This window comes from Homo sapiens, chromosome 10 (assembly GCF_000001405.40).
Source record: "Homo sapiens chromosome 10, GRCh38.p14 Primary Assembly".
NCBI lineage: Eukaryota > Metazoa > Chordata > Mammalia > Primates > Hominidae > Homo > Homo sapiens.
Window position 1 is genome coordinate 93,266,216 of NC_000010.11, and position 17,585 is coordinate 93,283,800.

The following is a 17,585-nucleotide window of genomic DNA, read 5'->3' on the forward strand; positions in this document are numbered from 1 at the left end:
GCTTAACGTTCAGACTCTGTAACGTTGGGCATTCACTTGTAGAAGATCGACAAGTTGCTTGTGGATGTTTCTAGTAGAGATGTAAATTATTTCTATTTGTAGAAATGAGAGTGCAAAGATCAGTTTTACTGACCTGTAGGACAGTAACCATTTTATATCTAATGTCATCTGAGTTTCAGTTTTCCTGCTTTGTAAAACACCAATAACAGTTCCTCCTTCATAGGGTTGTTGTACCACTAAATGTAACACATGTAGCACTTGTAGGGCACTGCCGGACACGTAGTAAGCTTTCAATTAAATTACACTCACTACAATTATTTAGATCGGAGGTCTACAGATGTGTTTTGTTGGGTTTGCACAGCATTTAAAAATATGAGTAGCCAATAGGTAAAAGTCAGGACATTTCACGTATTTCAGATGTTAACGTCTCTTTAAAAATCAAAATATTAGTCAGTACAAGGCTTAAATTATTATATGGCAACCAACAACTTTAAGTTGGTGTCATCTGCCCTTTGGGATGGGCAGGTGTTTTTCCACTTGCCATAGGCCACATCTGGGCCCCTTTGTTCCTTTATATTACTTTCCAGGTCTCTGAGGCGCCAACCCCTGGTTTAGAGCATCATCTTCTTGTTCCCCAATTGAAATGACCTTCAGCCCAGTTTCCAGAGGCTCCAGAACCAGGACCTGCCCAATAGGACCCCAGTGGTACTTTAGGGGAGCGCTTCAAGTGCTCATGGTTCAGCCTGATAGTATGGGACGTCTTCACAGAAAATTGTCCCTTCTCATCTCTTCCCCAGCCCTGCAGGAAGGGCGTGGTATACTCAAAGTACATACAGTAGACATCCTCTTGAGGCTTTCTGAGATGTAGCATCCTGCCTAGATAGTCTTGGTGACTTAGCAGCTTTTAGCCCTGTGTCAAATCACTAGACTAGCTGATAATAATAGTAAACTTTAACATGAGTCCCACTCCCCGCCATACTGGTCACTTGGTGTAGAATCCTCCAAACAACTTGAAGTAGGTATCACAGGTCCACAATCTGAAATTCCAAAGCTCTAAAAACCCAAATTCTTCTTGTAGCGAAATCTAACCTGAACCAACATGAAGCTATATATAGTCTTTATTTTTCCCGCCTAATATAAATACTCTGACATTTTGCTGCAGAAATGGTAATGTGTTTGATTACTGGGTACTGCCCTAAACCCTGCTAGAGGTATGGTATTCAGACTGTTCCTTCTAGAATTTGAAAACCTGGCTCCAAGTGTTTCAGATAAGGTATCGAGAATATATATTATTCCCATTTTATAGATGAGGAAACTGAATCCCTGAGAAATTAAAACAAGAAAATCCACATTATCTCCTGACTGCTCATCAGCCAGTCCTTCCTGGATGGCCTTGGGCACCTTATATTGACTGTCTGGATTTCAGTTCCTCTTTCTATAAAATGACAGGTAGCACTATTAGCTGTCATACACTGAATGGATTTTAGGTCATTTCGTTCTCTCTAAACCTTCACCACAACGTGGGTGTTATGGTTATTATCCTCATTTTGCTAATGGAGAAACTGAAACTCAAAGAACTGAAACAATTTGCCCAAGGTCACCCAGCCAGTCAATGAAGCACTGACATGTGAACCAGTTCTGTCTGTATTTGGCATCAGACACCCTTTCGTGGGATTCAAGAGCTTCTTGCAGCTCTAGGAAGAGTACCTTTCTCTTATATCCCTATCAGATTTCTTCAGTGAAAAAAATGCCTGGCCCATTTTATCTTTCATTCTTTATATTCCAGCAGCCACCAACCTTATAGAGAGGCCAGGAAAGCTTTGAAAATGATGTTTACTGTCCCCTATCTCCTGCCTTCCAGGGAAGGGTTCAAACATGTCAACTTTCAGGCTATTGCAGGCATTTCTAGGACCCCGCCTCAGTGGTCTGTCTCTCTGGCTTCCTGCTGTAAAGATTTCTGCAAGTAGGTGCAACATTTCTCTAGGGGCTTTTGGCCCCAGTAGGTCTGAAGCCAACAGCTCCTGTTAATGAGGTCTGTTCCTCCTCCCACCATCTCTCCTGGATGATTCTCCTCCTCTCACATGGGGGACACGACACAAATCACAGGAGCTTCTGGCTGCCTGTGCCTGAGAACCCTGGCCTCACTGAAAGTGTTGACGGCCTGGCAGGAGGAGCTGTCATCTTCTAGACAGTTCAATTGACCAAGCAAGGAGTGGCTCATTCTTGTAATCTCATGTTTTCCAACACAGTTGTTGAGAAAAACTGCCTCTTGCTCAGAAATACTACAGCGGTTTGGGAAGTCAGCTGCCTGTAATCATGGGCACTAGTGGATTCTAACTGCCCATCAAGAGAGGCTGCATGGAAGCAGAGGTGCAGGCACAGGGAGCTGGTATCTCCCTCCCCATCCTTTATCCCTCTGACTTTGAGCAAGACACTTGACCCATTATAACTATTTCCTTGTCTGGAAAATGGGGATAAAAACCTCCAGTTCTGTCTATCTCATAGGACTGCAGGGAGAATTGCAGTAGTAATAGATGTGACAACCTTTGCAAACATCACATACAACTATGTAAGCCTGAGGGCAAGGGATGAGTTATGGTTATGTGAATTATGGTTACCTGTGGAGGGTGTCCAGGTTCTTGGTGTCTTGAACAAAGAATTGGACAAAACACACAAAGCAAGGAAAGAACAAAGCAACAAAAGCAGAGATTTATTGAAAATGAAAGTAAACTCCACAGTATGGGAGTGGGCCTGAGCATAGGGGCTCAAGAGCCCTGTTACAGAATTTTCTGGGGATTAAATACCCTCTAGAGGTTTCCACTGGTTACTTGGTGTAAGCCCTATGTAAGTGAAGAGGATGAAATAAAGTTACAAAGTCATTTACTCAGTGTATGCCCTATGTAAATGGAGAGGATATATGTTTCTATTTGATTTAGTTCTAGGAAGTCAGCATGAATCAGCCTTATGTTCCCTGCCTCCAGACCCTATTCTTCTGCCTCAGTTAAGCATGAGGAGCAGAAGCCAGCTCTACAAAGAGATGAGATCAAAAGTTTAGTAGATTGAACTCCAATAGGTCTTGACGATGATCCTTACATACGTATTTCCAAAACATATCTCTCTTTCTTGTTTCAAGATGACTGCAAACTACTGGGTCTTAGAAATGACTGGAGAATTTTGTTTCTGTGTGTCATTTGAAAGCATTTTTATGCCTTAAGATTGTGGCCAACACAAGGAATGTAACAGGAGTAAAAATCAAGAGAAACAACAGATAACAGAAACAAACCCACACCTACTTCTGGAAGTGGAATTATCAGGGACATATTGTAAATAAGCTTTTTATTATGTAAATTACAAACTTGAACATATTTGAAGGAAAAATAGGCTCTAAAAAATCTAGCAGATATGGAAAAGAACCAAATAGAACTTCCAGAAATAGAACACATAGGAACCGAAATTAAACACACTGGAGTTTCATAGAAAAGTTTAAGGGACTGCCCTAGTTGGGAGAAGATGAGAGGCAAGGCCTTCAATGGAAAGGAACATTAGGCTTCGTATAATTGGAATTGTGGGTGATGAGTGGGAGGAAAAGAAATAAAAAAAGCTGTAGAAATTGGACCTCTAAGAGCTTTAGGAATCTCAAAGATGTCAACTATTTTGATAACCATAGTAGCCTTAGCATCAGCACTAGGGCCATTTCCTCTTGCACCAGACACCAGAACTTTTTGGAGAAAAGTGATGGAAGAGGGAGGCACCACCAGCTCTTACTGTCATTTAGAAGTAGCACCCTGTCTATAAATTCCAACTGCAACCCGGAACAAGAAAGAATAATTGGCAAACTCAGGAATTATTCTTGAAAATCAGCTCTAATTAAATGAAGACTACTTGTATTTTCTAATTTCATAGTTTAAAAATTGAAGCCCGGAATTCAGGTTTATGAAATTTTTTTCAGGAAGTGAGGCTTCTTATCAAAGTGAAAGTTTACAGGAATGAATAGAAGTAGACATCTGTGAACCTCAAATATCTGAGACAGGTCTCAGTCAATTTAAAAGTTTATTTTGGCAAGGTTAAGGACACGCCCATGACACAGCCTCAACGTGTAAAATGTACACTAGTTCTGTCCTCCAGTAAGGTGGGACAACTTGAAGTGGGGGCTTCAAGGTTAGAAGTAGATTAGAGACAAAAGGTTACATTCTTTTACGTCTTTGATCAGCCTTCCACTGAATATACAATTGAGTCTGCCTCAGTGAATCTGCATTTTTACATAAGCAATAGGGGAGAGGAAGCAATTATATATGCATTATCTCAGGTGAGCCTCCCAGGGATGACTTTGAATAGAATGGGAGGCAAGTTTGCCTTAACCAGTTCCCAGCTTGACTTTCCCCTTTTGCTTAGTGATTTGGGGGTCCCAAGATTTATTTTCCTTTCACACATCAAAGTCCCAGAATCATAAAACTTGGCACTTGGGAAAAAAAAAAAAAAAACACAGAGTGACTGTAGTGCAATCCCTTCACTTACAGAAGAGGGAACTAAGATCTAGAGAAAATGTGGCAGCCCCAGATCACAGGGAACCTCCTAACTTCTAATTTGATACTAAAGCAATACAACCAACCAAAGCAGTCTCCCTTGGGTCAGTTTTATAAAAACAAACAAATAAATAAATAAAGTAAATGTTGTGGATGAGACTGTGAACAGCAGATCATCTGGTGAATGGTTGAGACAATCAAAATGTAAAGAGATGAGGGCTGGTTTCAGTAGAGGGAGGTGAGCCTGCCAGGAAAGGCTTGGAGATGAGCTTTGAAGCACTCCCTAAACACAGTGTCCACAGACACAATGTGACGATGAAAAAAGGCGCTGTGAGGTGGGAGCGTATGCAGACCAGCTTGTGGCTTGGTGGATACATTTATTCGACAAGCATTTACTGAAGGCTGTTAAGGGGTTGGCACAGCACAGGCACACTGGATACGGCCCCTGATCTCATGGAGCTTACAGTCCAGTGGGCTGGGGAGGTGAAGGAGGGAGATGGGACAGTCAATAGGACTTCAAATATCAAGCTGTTGAAGAATTTTTGAAATGTTCTGGGGAGGAGCAGAACATCAGCAAAAGGGTTGGGAGAATAGTCAGGGCAGTGACCTGTCTTGCAAGCAGGGTCCTCAGGAAGTGGGAACCATCAGTGCTGTAGTGTCAGGGATGGATGAATCCCAGAGGCTCTGCACCTGCCTCCCAGTCCATGCTTCATTGCAAGGTTGCAGTTAAGACTGAAGGTCATGGATGCACCAGCACCAAGCTCCAGATTAGTGCTCACTTAATAATGGCTATCATTACCATGACTGTGGGAACTTCCTGCCTCTCAGGGCCTTTTTATACCAAGTTATTCTTCCAGGAAACAGACCAAATGGGAAACAACAGGTACTTCAAAGGGCTGGAATTGTGGGTGCTTTGTGTTTTTTTTCTTTATACTTATGTATGTTTTCCAAGTTTTTCTACCTTAAATATGCACTACTTTTAGAATCAGAAAAAAAGAATTATAACAACTTTTTTTTTTTTTTTTTTGAGACAGTCTTACTCTGTTGCCCAGGCTGGAGTGCAATGGCACGATCTCAGCTCACTTCAACCTCCGCCTCCCAGGTTCAAGCGATTCTCCTGCCTCAGCCTCCCAAGTAGCTGGGATTACAGGCGTATGCCACCACACCTGGCTAATTTTTTATATTTTTAGTAGAGACAAGGTTTCACCATGTTGGCCGGCCTGGCCTCAAACACCTGACCTCAGGTGATCCACCTGCCTTGGCCTCCCAAACTGCTGGGATTACAGGCCGAGTCACCTAAAACAGCTTTTTATAAGGTATCTACTTAAACTACTGATATTAACCATGGGTATCAAATGTACTGATATAAAAAGATATCCACAATATATATTACTGAGTGGGGGAAAAGAGCAAAGGAGCTATGGGGCAAAGCATGTACTGCAGTTGCATTATTGTAAACAACCCTATGTGTGTGTATTTGTATATATAAAAAGTTCTGGGCCAGGCGCGGTGGCTCACACCTGTAATCCCAGCACTTTGGGAGGCCAAGGCGCGTGGATTACCTGATGTCAGGAGTTCGAGGCCAGGCTGGCCAACATGGTGAACCCCCATCTCTACTAAAAAAAAAATACATAAATTAGCTGGGCGTGGTGATGCATGCCTGTAGTCCCAGCTACTTGGGAGGCTGAGGCTGGAGAATCACTTGAACCCGGGAGGCGGAGGTTGCAGTGAGCCGAGATCGTGCCACTGCCTCTAGCCTGGGTGATAGAGCAAGACTCCTGTCTCAATTTAAAAAAAAAAAAAAAAAAGTAAGTTCTGGAAGAACCTAAACTCTGGGGGCAGGGTGGAGTTTTACTTTTCATACTCTTCCATAATGTTTGAACATTTGCAACAAACGTGTTGCTCTTGCAATTTTTCAGCCAAAAATACAGATATTAGGTATCACTTACGGATTTATTGTGTGCTGGGTACTTACTAAGCACATTCCTTCCCATTCCTAGTGGCTTCTACTCTTTTCCTGTTCTGGGGCCACAGGGAACAAGACTCGTCTACTAGGTGGACCCTCTCTCAGGACCCCTGGATCTTCCTTTCAGGGTCTGCACCTCCTCCAGGAGGGATCAGGATTTGAAGCAAGAGATGCCAGGAGGTTATTTTTCTGTCTCCTCTGTGTCCCTGTCCAGCTTTCTTGCCGGGAGACATGTTTGAGATGGAGATAGTGACAGGGAAGGGAGCTTCAGGGGCCATGGCACGTCCTGTCCAGAGCGAGTAGGGAACTGGAATGGGAGAGGATTAGGGAGGCGCCCTCCCTTCCACCCGGGGCACTCACCTCTGGCCAGCAGTCCCACCAGGCTTGCTTCCTCTCACCCTGCCCAGCCCAGGAAGGAGGAGGTGGAAATAATTAACACCTACATGGAAACTTTCACACAGGTTGTGAACTCCTCCAGAAATTTGCATTTTAAACCCTTGGTGGCTAATTGGGAATGCAAGGCTTTGTCTGGCCTGAAAAGAAGGGCAGGCAATGGAAATCAGGTGGAGAGAGGAGGGGGTCTTCTTTGTGCTGGTGTGTGTGTGTGTGTTGGGGGTGCAGACATTCTACTTCCAAGCCTGGTGCAGATAAAAAAGCTGAGTTGAGGGGATGGGGGTGGCACCAAGAACATATGACTTCCTCCCCACTCTCCACAAGGTTTCTGGACATGAACTCCATTTCCAAGTCACCAGCCTGCCTGTAACCTGGGGCTGGCGCCCCGGCCCAGATAGCTGGCCTATGTGTGCAGAAACAGGTCTGAGCCTGCTTTGAGGGGCAGGGGACTCCAGAGAGGAGTGACCCAGCTTGAGCTGGAGAACTCTTCAATTATTAATTAATTTTTTTTTTTGAGACGGAGTCTAGCTCTGTCACTCAGCCTGGAGTACAGTGTTGTGATCTCAGCTCACTGCAACCTCTGCCTCCCAGGTTCAAGCGATTCTCCTGCCTCAGCCTCCCGAGTAGCTGGGATTACAGGCATGTGCCACCATGCCCAGCTAATTTTTGTATTTTAGTAGAGGCAGGGTTTCACTATGTTGGTCAGGCTGGTCTCAAACTGCTGACCTCAAGTGATCCGCCTGCCTCGGCCTCCCAAAGTGCTGGGATTACAGGTGTGAGCCACCACGCCTGGCCTAATTAATTTTTAAATAAGTAAAATGTGCATGAAAAATTCCAAAGGTTCAGAAGTGAAAACCAAGTTTCCCTTTGAACCCTAGTTCCCATGTTCTCTCTATATGTAAAAATACACATATGTATAAATATGTATGTATGTATATGTGTGTATTTACATTTGGGCAGTCTATACAACACAACACACTCTTTTCTTTTGAAATGGAGTCTCGCTCTGTCACCCAGGCTAGAGTGCAATGGCACGATCTTGGCTCATTGCAACTTCCACCCCCTGCATTTAAGCGATTCTCCTGCCTCAGCCCCCCAAGTAACTGGGATCACAGGTGCACATCAACATGCCCAGCTAATTTTTGTATTTTTAGTAGAGATGGGGTTTCGCCACATTGGCCAGGCTGGTCTTGGACTCCTGACCTCAAGTGATCTGCCTGCCTCAGCCCCCCAAATTACTGGGATTACAGGCATGAGCCGCTGTGCCCAGCCACAACACACTCTTAATTATCTTGCTTTTTTCCACAAAGCAATGCTTTTCAGGCCTGCTACTTATAAGATCTTGTTAATGTGATTAATTTCCCTGTGTTCAATCTTCTCATCTGTAAAATGGGAGATAATACAAATATTTCCCTCATAGGGCTGCTGTGAGAATTAAATGAGTTAACTCATGTAAAATCATTATGTCAGAGGCCAGAGTGACTCCATCTTGAATAGGGGCTAGGTAAGATAAGATGAGACCTGCTGGGCTCCATTCCCAGGAGGTCAGTCATTCTTAGTCACAGGATGAGACAGGAGGTCAGCAAGACTGGTATCACAAGTTATGGGTCGTAAAGACCCTGCTGATAAGATAGGATGCAGTAAAGAAACTGGCCAAACACACCAAAACCGAGATGGTGACCTCTGGTCGTCCTCACTGCTCATTACACGTGAATTATAACACATTAGCATGCTAAAAGATACTCCCACCAGTGCCATGACAGTTTACAAATGCATGGCAATTTGTAGTGAAAGTCACCCAATATGGTCTAAACGGGGAGAAACTCTCAGTTCCTGGGGAAATCCCTGCCCTTTTCTCATAAAACTCATGGATAATCCACCCCTTGTTTAGCATATAATCAAGAAATACACATAGAAATAGCTGGCAGCCCTCAGTGGTACTCGTTTATGATATAGTCATTCTGTTGTTTCTTTACTTTCTGAATAAACTTGCTTTTACTTTACTCTATGGACTTGCCCCGAATTCTTCCCTGGGCAAGATTTGAGAACGCTCCCTTGGGTCTGGATCGAGACTCCTTTCTGGTAACAATTAGACCAGTGCCTGGCGTGCAGAGAGCTCTAGAAAAGTGTTAGCTATTGTTATTATTGTGGGAATTGAAAAAGTAATAAAGAATTAATCCCAAGATCCTGAATTTTTGTGTTTTAAGATGTATAAGGGGTGTGTGTGTGTGTGTGTGTGTACGTGTGTATATGTGAGAGAGAGAGCTTTAATGTTATAAGAAAAAATGGTGATTGATTCTGAGATTCTAATCTGGAAATTGGGATATTAACATGATGGAAATACAACAATAACCACCACCACAACAACAAAGTTCTATTTATTGCCTGCCTGCTATGTGCCAGGTGCTGTTTGGGCCTCTGACATGCCTCGGTTAACGCCTGCAACGAAATATTACTAGTGAGTATTTTTATTCCCAGTGTGTAAATGAAGAAACGGAAAGTCTGGTAAATTTGCAACAGGAAAACAGTAAAAGAATAGAGACTTAGTCCTTTATGTTTCCTGTTGATGCCAATCACATAGGGCAACAGCAATCATGAGTTTATGTGCGGATCAGTGCTGTGTATTGTATCAGAGTCCACACTGTTCTTGTTCCTGTGGCATGGTCTGTGCTTAAAGAGAATGAAAATAAGTAGGGGAATGACTGACCTCAAACTTCATCAATACCTCATTTATTGATATTCCACAGTAGGTGATTTTAAGGTAGTCATTGAAGCTGATTCTTTCTAGGATGAAATTTATTTTCTTTTTCTTTTCTTTTTTTCTTTTTTTTTTTTTGAGACAGAGTTTTGCTCTTGTTGCCCAAACACCATTGCAAACAAGTTTTGCTCTTGTTGCAATGGTGTGATCTTGGCTCACTGCAACCTCCACCTCCTGGGTTCAAGTGATTCTCGTGCCTCAGCATCCCAAGTTGCTGAGATTACAGGCATATGGCACCACGCCCAGCTAATTTTGTATTTTTAGTAGAAACGGGATTTCGCCATGTTGGTCAGGCTGGTTTCTAACTCCTGACCTCAGGTGATCCTCCCGCCTCAGCCTCCCAAAGTGCTGGGATTACAGGCGTGAGCCACCACACCCAGCCCATTTTCTTTTTCTTTTTCTTTTCTTTTCTTTTTTTCTTTTTTTTTGAGACAGAGTCTCGCTCTGTTGCCCATGCTGGAGGGCAGTGGCTTAATCTCCGCTCACTGCACCCTCCGCCTCCCAGGTTCAAGCAATCCTCCTGCCTCAGCTCCCGCTAGTAGCTGGGATTACAGGTACGTGCCACCATGCCTGGCTAATTTTTGTATTTTTAGTAGAGCTGGGGTTTTGCCATGTTGGCCAGGCTGGTCTCAAACTCCTGACCTCAGGTGATCCACCTGCCTTGGCCTCCCGAAGTACTGGGATTACAGGTGTGAGCCACCGCATCTGGCCCATTTTATTTTTCAAATGGGTGACATGCTGCCTTTTCTTAAACACAGCAGAACTATGCATGGCCCTTCTTTCAGTCTGTCCCTGAGGCATCACCTCAGTACTGCACTTCGCTCAGTGGGCCTTGGATCAGCCTTTCTGGTATGGGTCTGTTAGCATGGCAGACCCCTGTCTGCAGTCTTCATATGCTGCACTCTGAGAAATTCGCAGAGCATGTCTCAATGGAAATGTACATAAACCCAGAACTGAAGAGCGTTCAAGGAGAGTCAGTCTTATGGGGTAAAGAGTGACATCTGTTTAAGAGGCTTTTTTTTTTTTTTTGCCTGCACTCTGGGTTCTCTGCATTATAGGTAGTTGGAGGAGGCTGGGCACGGTGGCTCACACCTGTAATCAAGCACTCTGGGGGGCCAAGGTGGGCAGATGGCTTGAGTCCAGGAGTTCGAGACCAGCCTGGGCAACATAGTGGGGCCCCATCTCTACAAAAAATACAAAAATTAGCCAGGCACGGTGGTGGGCATCTGTGATCCCAGCTACTCTGGAGGCTGAGGTGGGAGGATCGCTTGAGCCCAGAAGGTCGAGGCTGTAGTTAGCCGAGGTTGTACCACTGTACTCCAGCTTGAGCAACAGTTGAGCAACAGAGAAAGACCCTACTTCAAAAAAAAAAAAAAAAATATATATATATATATATACATGTGTAGTTGGATTTGCAGGAAGCCCAACTCCATGGTGAGTGAGCATTAACAGTGGGTTCCATGTTTATGGAAGCCAAGAGGGTTAAGGTATTACCAGGAGGTGGCACGAATGAGTGTTTGGTGACATTAAGATGGCGTGGGTTTGGTTCCCTTTCTCAAATGCTGGAGGGCAGCCCCATACCTGCCCAATGGCTTTCTCCTTCTCCACCCCAGCATGGAATTTAAAAGGCTTGGTGACCTGCACATCTGGAGACACCAAGGAGGGCTGGCAGTGAATTACTTGGCTGGCAAGCAGTGTGAAGTGGCCCTTGCGTTTTCCTGGCTTTGCTAGCTATGCCTGGGACTCTGCCCATTGAAGAGCTGGCTCAGGGAGAACAAAAATAACAATGACGATTCTAAGCAAATGTACAACTAAAAATTCCACTGATGGATTTTCTGATGAAAATAAGTCATAGGAAAGATTGCTTAATGAGCTGAAGCAGGACCATTGTAAGTTCTGCCTGGTTACCCTGGTTCTTTTGTTCTGTGAACTGCCTGTTCATACCCTTTGCTTATTCTTCTATTGAGCTGTACATATAGATCTTGCTGATTGGTGTGAGCTCTTTGTGAAACAGGAAATGAAACTTTTATCAGTCAAAGATCACAAACAATTATCTCCAATGTTATCTTATTTTGTTCATAGAATTTCTTTTGGCTGTGTATTATCTAGTCAAATTTATCAGTCGTTTCTTTGGCTTCAAGGTTCTGTGATCTACTTAGAAAGTTCTTTTCCACTCTTGGCCAGGTGCAGTGGCTCACACTTGTAATCCCAGCATTTTGGGAGGCCAAGGTGGGCGGATCACCTGAGGTCAGGAGTTCGAGACCAGCCTGAACAACATGGAGAAACCCCGTCTCTCCTAAAAACACAAAAAAATAGCCGGGCGTGGTGGCGGGCACCTGTAGTCCCAGCTACTCAGGAGGCTGAGTCAGGAGAATGGTGTGAACCCGGGAGGCGGAGCTTGCAGTGAGCTGAGATTGTGTCACTGCACTCCAGCCTGGGTGACAGAGCGAGACTCCGTCTAAAAAACAAAAATCAAATAAACAAAAAGAAAGTTCTTTTCCACTCTTATGTGATACATTTTACATGTTTGCTTCAAGACGTTTTGTGGTTTGATTTTTTTAAAGTTTAAATCTTTTATCTAACCAAAATTAATTTTGGTGTTAAGGGTTGAAATGGGGGTCTAACTAACTTCATTATTTTTTCTAACTGATTTTCAGTGGTCCCCAAATGATTTATTGAGTGATCTCTCTTTTCCTCACTAAATGCCACTTTCCCCATAAACTAAATTTCTGCATGTATTTCACCCTATTTCTGGTCCCCTCCAATTTTGTTATACTATTTTTTCTCCATCATAAACCTTTAAAATTATTGTTGTTTCTTAATTTTTTTTTTTTGGAAACAGAGTCTTGCTATGTTGCCCAGGCTGGACTCAAATTCCTGGGCTCAAGCAATCCTCCTGCCTCAGCCTCCTGAGGCCTTGAAAGGATTGCAAAGTGCTGGGACTATAGGCATGAGCCACTACATCTGGCTCTCATAATGTATTTTAATATCTAGTTGGAGTAGTCCTCCCTGATTATCCTTTTTTTTTTTTTTTTTGAGACGAAGTCTTGCTCTGTTACCCAGGCTGGAGTGCAGTGGCATGATCCTGGCTCACTGCAACCTCCACCTACCGGGATCAAGTGATTCTCCTGCCTCAGCCTCCTAAGTAACTGGGACTACAGGCACTTGCTGCCACGCCCAGCTAATTTTTGTATTTTAGTAGAGACAGGGTTTCGCCATGTTGGCCAGGCTGGTCTGGAACTCCTGACCTCAAGTGATCCGACTGCCTTGGCCTCCCAAAGTGCTGGGATTACAGGCGTGAGCCACCGCGTGTGACCGATTATCCTTCTTTGGACCTTTTCTAGTCATTTTCACGTTTATTTTTTCCGATAAATTTAAATAGCCGGGCACAGTGGCTCATGCCTGTAATCCCAGGACTTTGGGAGGCTGAGGCAGGTGGATCACCTGAGGTCAGGAGTTCAGGACCAGCCTGGCCAACATGGCAAAACCCCATCTCTACAAAAATACAAAAATTAGCCGGGCATGATTGCGGGTGCCTGTAATCCCAGCTACTCGGGAGGCTGGGGCAGAAGAATCACTGGAACCCGGGAGGCGGAGGTCTCAGCCGAGATGGTGCCAGTACACTCCAGCCTGGGCAACAGAGTGAGACTCCATCTCAAAAAAATTTAAAAATAAAATAAATAAATAAATATCATTTTATCAAGCCCCTTTACCCCATTTTCTTGACATTTTAATTGGAAATGCATTGAGCTATAGATTAAATTAGGGAGAATTAATACAAAAGCAGGGCATGTTTTCACATTTACTCCTGTTTTCTTTTATGAACCCCATTCGAACCTGAGAGTTTTCCGTCGGGCACAGTGGCTTATGTCTGGAATTCCAGCACTTTGCAATCCTTTTGAGGCCAAGGTGGGAGGATTGCCTAGGAGTTCTAGACCAGCTTTGGCAGCATGGTGAACCCTGTCTCTAAAAAAATACAAAAGTAGCTGAGTGTGGTGGCTTGTGCTTGTAGTTCCAGCTACTCTGGAAACTGAGGTGGGAGGATCACCCGAGCCCAGGGAGGTGGAGGCTGCAGTGAGCTGTGATCATGCCACTGCACTCCAGCTTGGGCAACAGAGTAAGATCTTGTCTCCAAAAAAATAGAGTTTTCTTCTTGTTAAATTTTTCCCTAGGAATTTTACCTTTTCAGCCTCTACAGCAAATAGGCACTTCTCATGTTTTCCAACTGGCTGTGTGACTTTAGACAAATCACTCATCTTCTCCACACCTCAATTTTCTTGTGGGTAAAGAAAGGCATGTATCTCTAAGATCGCTTCATCTAAAGCTAGTTGAAGCGTTTATGACTTGATTCTTAACAATGCAAAATGTTGGTATTTTCAGGGGCAGCTTTGCCCTCATTGAATTTTCATGAGAAAGACCTGGGTCAGCTCAGTTTCTCTGGTCCCAGCTGTGCAAACAAATACCTGGGTCAACCCTAATTGGAGCCCTCTGTGAGCCCCCAGCCCCCTCCACTGATTCACCAAGACTCCACTGTGCCCTGAGATTCCTCCTGCAGGCTGGATACCCCAGCAGGATAGGCATACCCCAGCTTTATTCCATACCCAGTTATGGGGCATCTATCTACCATGTGCCAGGCACCAGGCCAGCCTCTGGCTGTGGCCATTGGCTGTGTATCTGATCAGGGTGGACAACCACTTTGGATGATTCAGGCCTCCAAGTGCAATGCATTTTGGGGCTGATTCTGAGATTGTTGTGGCCTCCGTGTATTCTGAGCCAATGAACTAGTCAACAGCCTTTTCTCCAGTGCTCAACGAAGACACAATCCGGCCCACGACCAGGTGCTAAGTGCTGCTTGGTAGCACTTGAGGGAGAGGATGCGCAGAGAGAGTATTAGCAAGACTAAGATTGTCAGGGCAGGCCGGGCCCAGCAGGGCCAGTTCAACCCCCTTCCAGGGCGGAATCTGCAGGGCTTTCCGGCTGCCCGAGCACCCCACTGTGTTGATGACTGGGTGGCAGACTCACACTCCTGGCTAATTCCAGGAGAGACTCATTTAAGCATTTACCATTTAGCCTAATTGTTTCTTTAATTGAAAGTCTGCAGATAAGCACAGGTTTCTTTCCTATGCAAAAGAGGCTTGAGCTAGAAGAAACAAGCCGGTGGTGTAAGAAAACAAGTGCTAGTTTTAGCCTGGCTTTGGGGAAGGGGGGCTTTGTGCCTCTGGGTTCTTGCATCATAATGTATTTGAGTTAATTTGACGGGTGGGGGTTCTTAGTTACCCAAACACTTTAATAGGATTGAAATGGGCTACTTTCAGGCCTTGCATGGATAAGAATGGACTGGCTAAGCCCTCTTTTCTTTAAGAAAACAGCTCCCACACTTGTGCAGGCCAAAATAATTAAGTAATTAGCAAAGGCATTTGTCAAAATGCCCAGTGGGGCTGACGAAAATGACAGCTTTGAGAAGGATGAAGAGTTTGCAAATAGCATTTTCTCCCAGCTCCAGGTTGGGGTCAGGCCTGGGGCCTGTGAGGAACACGCCTGCCTGGGACTCCGGGGTCCCAGCTCAACCTTTGGGGTTCAAGTTCACTTCCCTGTGGCAAAAGCCAAGCTCCTATTTCTAAGGAGGCAGTCTTGAAAGGCCTTTGGAACATCAAAGGACTCCCCAAACACAGTAAGTAAAAAATAAAGGAGTCATTTTCCTTTTCAAAGGATTGAAACCGTTAAGCAGCCAAGTCCATGGCAGAAAAAGCATTTGTGGTTTGTGGAAATTAAAAAGACTGAGGAAACAGCTAGAGGTTACAAGGCAATCATTACCCTCAACAGTGAGCTTATGCTGTACCTACTGTGTGCAAGGCAAATACCTGGATTTTCTTAGAGCCATAAGAGTCTGCCCTTACGAGGCCACAGTGATTGCTGTTGTTGGTGGATTACAGGTTAACTGAGATATTCTTTTTTTTTTTTTTTTTTTTTTTTTTGAGACAGGGGCTCGCTCTGTCACCCAGGCTGGAGTGCAGTGGCGCCATCTTGGCTCACTGCAACCTCCGCCTCTGGGGTTCAAGCAATTCTCCTGCTTCAGCCTCCTAAGTAGCTGGGACTACAGGCGCCCACCACCATGCCTGGCTAATTTTTGTATTTTTAGTAGAGACGGGGTTTCACCATGCTGGCCAGGCTGGTCTCAAACTCCTGACCTCGTGATCTGCCCACCTCGGCCTCCCAAAGTCCTGGGATTACAGGCGTGAGCCACCGTGCCCGGCAACAACTGAGATATTCTCTCAGCACAAGAGAGAAGGCGACACTAATAATAACCACTTAGGGGCCCCTTCAATATGCCAGGCATGTGGGATCTCATTCAGTGCCCACAACAATGCTATGATGTTGGCATTTGTTTTCCTCCTTTAATGGATAGGGAAACTGAGGCCCAACAAAGTCAGGAAATTTAGAGCTGAGAGTCAATGTCAAGGAGACGTTAAGACGTCTGGAGTACAAAGGACCTGGGTTTGACAGCAGATTCTACTTGTGTTGGTCACAAGGAATAAGAAGTAGGGAAAGATCATTAGATTTAGAAAGTAGGAGTTGTTGGTGACTGGACAGTGGTGTTTCAGAGGAATGACATTGTTACAGGAAAGGGGTCCCGATCCAGACCCCAAGAGAGGGTTCTTTGATCTCGTGCAAGAAACAATTCAAGGGCTGGGCGTGGTGGCTCACGCCTGTAGTCCCAGCACTTTGGGAGGCCGAGGCAGATACATCACTTGAGGTCAGGAGTTTGAGAACAGTCTGGACAACATGGTGAAACCTTGGATCTACTAAAATTACAAAAATTAGCCGGGCCTGGTGGTGGGCGCCTGTAATCCCAGCTACTCAGGAGGCTGAGGCACAAGAATCACCTGAACCTGGGAGTGGGCAGTTGCGGTGAGCTGAGATTGTGCCGCTGCACTCCGGCTTGGGTGATAGAGTGAGGCTCTATCTCCAAAAAAAAAAAAGAATTCAAGGCGAGTCCATAGAGTAAGTGAAAGCAACTTTATCAAGAAAGCAAAGGAATAAAAGAAGGGCTACTTCACTGAGGGCTGCTAGTTGCCTATTTATTTACTTATTTATTTATTTGTGAGACGGAGTCTCATGCTGTTGCCCAGGCTGGTGTGCAAATGGCGCAATCTCAGCTCACTGCAACCTCCGCCTTCCAGGTTCAAGCGATTCTCCTGCCTCAGCTTCTCGAGTAGCTGGGATCACAGGCACCTGCCACCATGGGCAGCTAGCTTTTTGTATTTTTAGTAGAGACAGGGTTTCACTATGTTTGTCAGGCTGGTCTTGAACTCCTGACCTGGTGAACCGCCTGCCTCGGCCTCCCAAAGTGCTGGGATTACAGGTGTGAGTCACTGCGCCCAGCCGGTTGCCTATTTTTATGGTTATTTCTTGATGACATACTAAACGAGGTGGATTATTCATCCTCCCCTTTTTAGACCATATAGGGTAACTTTCTGACATTGCCAAGGCATTTGTAAACTGCCGTGGTGCTGGTGGGAGTGTAGCAGTGACTGAGGTCACTCTCATCACCATCTTGGTTTTGGTGGGTTTTAGCCAGCTTTTTTACTGCAAACATGTTTTATCAGCAAGGTCATCATGATCTGTATTTTGTGCTGACCTCCTAGCTCATCCTGGGACTTAGAATGCCTCAACCATCTGGAAATGCAGCCCAGTAGTTCTCAGCTTCATTTTACCCGGCCCCTATTCAAGATGGAGTTGCTCTGGTTCACACGCCTCTGACAACATGGCAGCTAAGCCATTGTGAGAATCGGGCGTGAAGAGTGAGTCTTCAAAAGCAGGCATGGCGGGAGAAGGAAGGCAGGAAACATATCTTCCGTCCAGCTGGGGACTCCTCCCAAGCTGGTGGGAAGACCCGAGCAGGTTTGTAGTTTGAGGGCAGTGGCCTGAAGAGAGAGCGAGTTTG

General features: G+C 44.9%; 8 annotated features.

Annotated features, from left to right (window-relative positions):
• Positions 1,348–1,397: a silencer, noted in NCBI's record as "silent region_2627". NCBI's record gives its function as "represses an Ori minimal core promoter by ATAC-STARR-seq in GM12878 lymphoblastoid cells {active_cell/tissue: GM12878}" and the evidence as "EXISTENCE:reporter gene assay evidence [ECO:0000049][PMID:35858748]".
• Positions 6,281–6,848: an enhancer, noted in NCBI's record as "OCT4-NANOG-H3K27ac-H3K4me1 hESC enhancer chr10:95032253-95032820 (GRCh37/hg19 assembly coordinates)". NCBI's record gives its function as "activates a minimal SCP1, AML or CMV promoter by ChIP-STARR-seq in naive H9 embryonic stem cells {active_cell/tissue: H9 hESC(naive)}" and the evidence as "EXISTENCE:reporter gene assay evidence [ECO:0000049][PMID:30033119]".
• Positions 6,849–7,415: an enhancer, noted in NCBI's record as "OCT4-NANOG-H3K27ac hESC enhancer chr10:95032821-95033387 (GRCh37/hg19 assembly coordinates)". NCBI's record gives its function as "activates a minimal SCP1, AML or CMV promoter by ChIP-STARR-seq in naive and primed H9 embryonic stem cells {active_cell/tissue: H9 hESC(naive and primed)}" and the evidence as "EXISTENCE:reporter gene assay evidence [ECO:0000049][PMID:30033119]".
• Positions 7,416–7,982: an enhancer, noted in NCBI's record as "H3K27ac-H3K4me1 hESC enhancer chr10:95033388-95033954 (GRCh37/hg19 assembly coordinates)". NCBI's record gives its function as "activates a minimal SCP1, AML or CMV promoter by ChIP-STARR-seq in primed H9 embryonic stem cells {active_cell/tissue: H9 hESC(primed)}" and the evidence as "EXISTENCE:reporter gene assay evidence [ECO:0000049][PMID:30033119]".
• Positions 10,347–11,224: an enhancer, noted in NCBI's record as "H3K27ac hESC enhancer chr10:95036319-95037196 (GRCh37/hg19 assembly coordinates)". NCBI's record gives its function as "activates a minimal SCP1, AML or CMV promoter by ChIP-STARR-seq in naive H9 embryonic stem cells {active_cell/tissue: H9 hESC(naive)}" and the evidence as "EXISTENCE:reporter gene assay evidence [ECO:0000049][PMID:30033119]".
• Positions 14,581–15,248: an enhancer, noted in NCBI's record as "OCT4-NANOG-H3K27ac-H3K4me1 hESC enhancer chr10:95040553-95041220 (GRCh37/hg19 assembly coordinates)". NCBI's record gives its function as "activates a minimal SCP1, AML or CMV promoter by ChIP-STARR-seq in naive and primed H9 embryonic stem cells {active_cell/tissue: H9 hESC(naive and primed)}" and the evidence as "EXISTENCE:reporter gene assay evidence [ECO:0000049][PMID:30033119]".
• Positions 15,249–15,918: an enhancer, noted in NCBI's record as "NANOG-H3K27ac-H3K4me1 hESC enhancer chr10:95041221-95041890 (GRCh37/hg19 assembly coordinates)". NCBI's record gives its function as "activates a minimal SCP1, AML or CMV promoter by ChIP-STARR-seq in naive H9 embryonic stem cells {active_cell/tissue: H9 hESC(naive)}" and the evidence as "EXISTENCE:reporter gene assay evidence [ECO:0000049][PMID:30033119]".
• Positions 15,919–16,587: an enhancer, noted in NCBI's record as "H3K27ac-H3K4me1 hESC enhancer chr10:95041891-95042559 (GRCh37/hg19 assembly coordinates)". NCBI's record gives its function as "activates a minimal SCP1, AML or CMV promoter by ChIP-STARR-seq in naive H9 embryonic stem cells {active_cell/tissue: H9 hESC(naive)}" and the evidence as "EXISTENCE:reporter gene assay evidence [ECO:0000049][PMID:30033119]".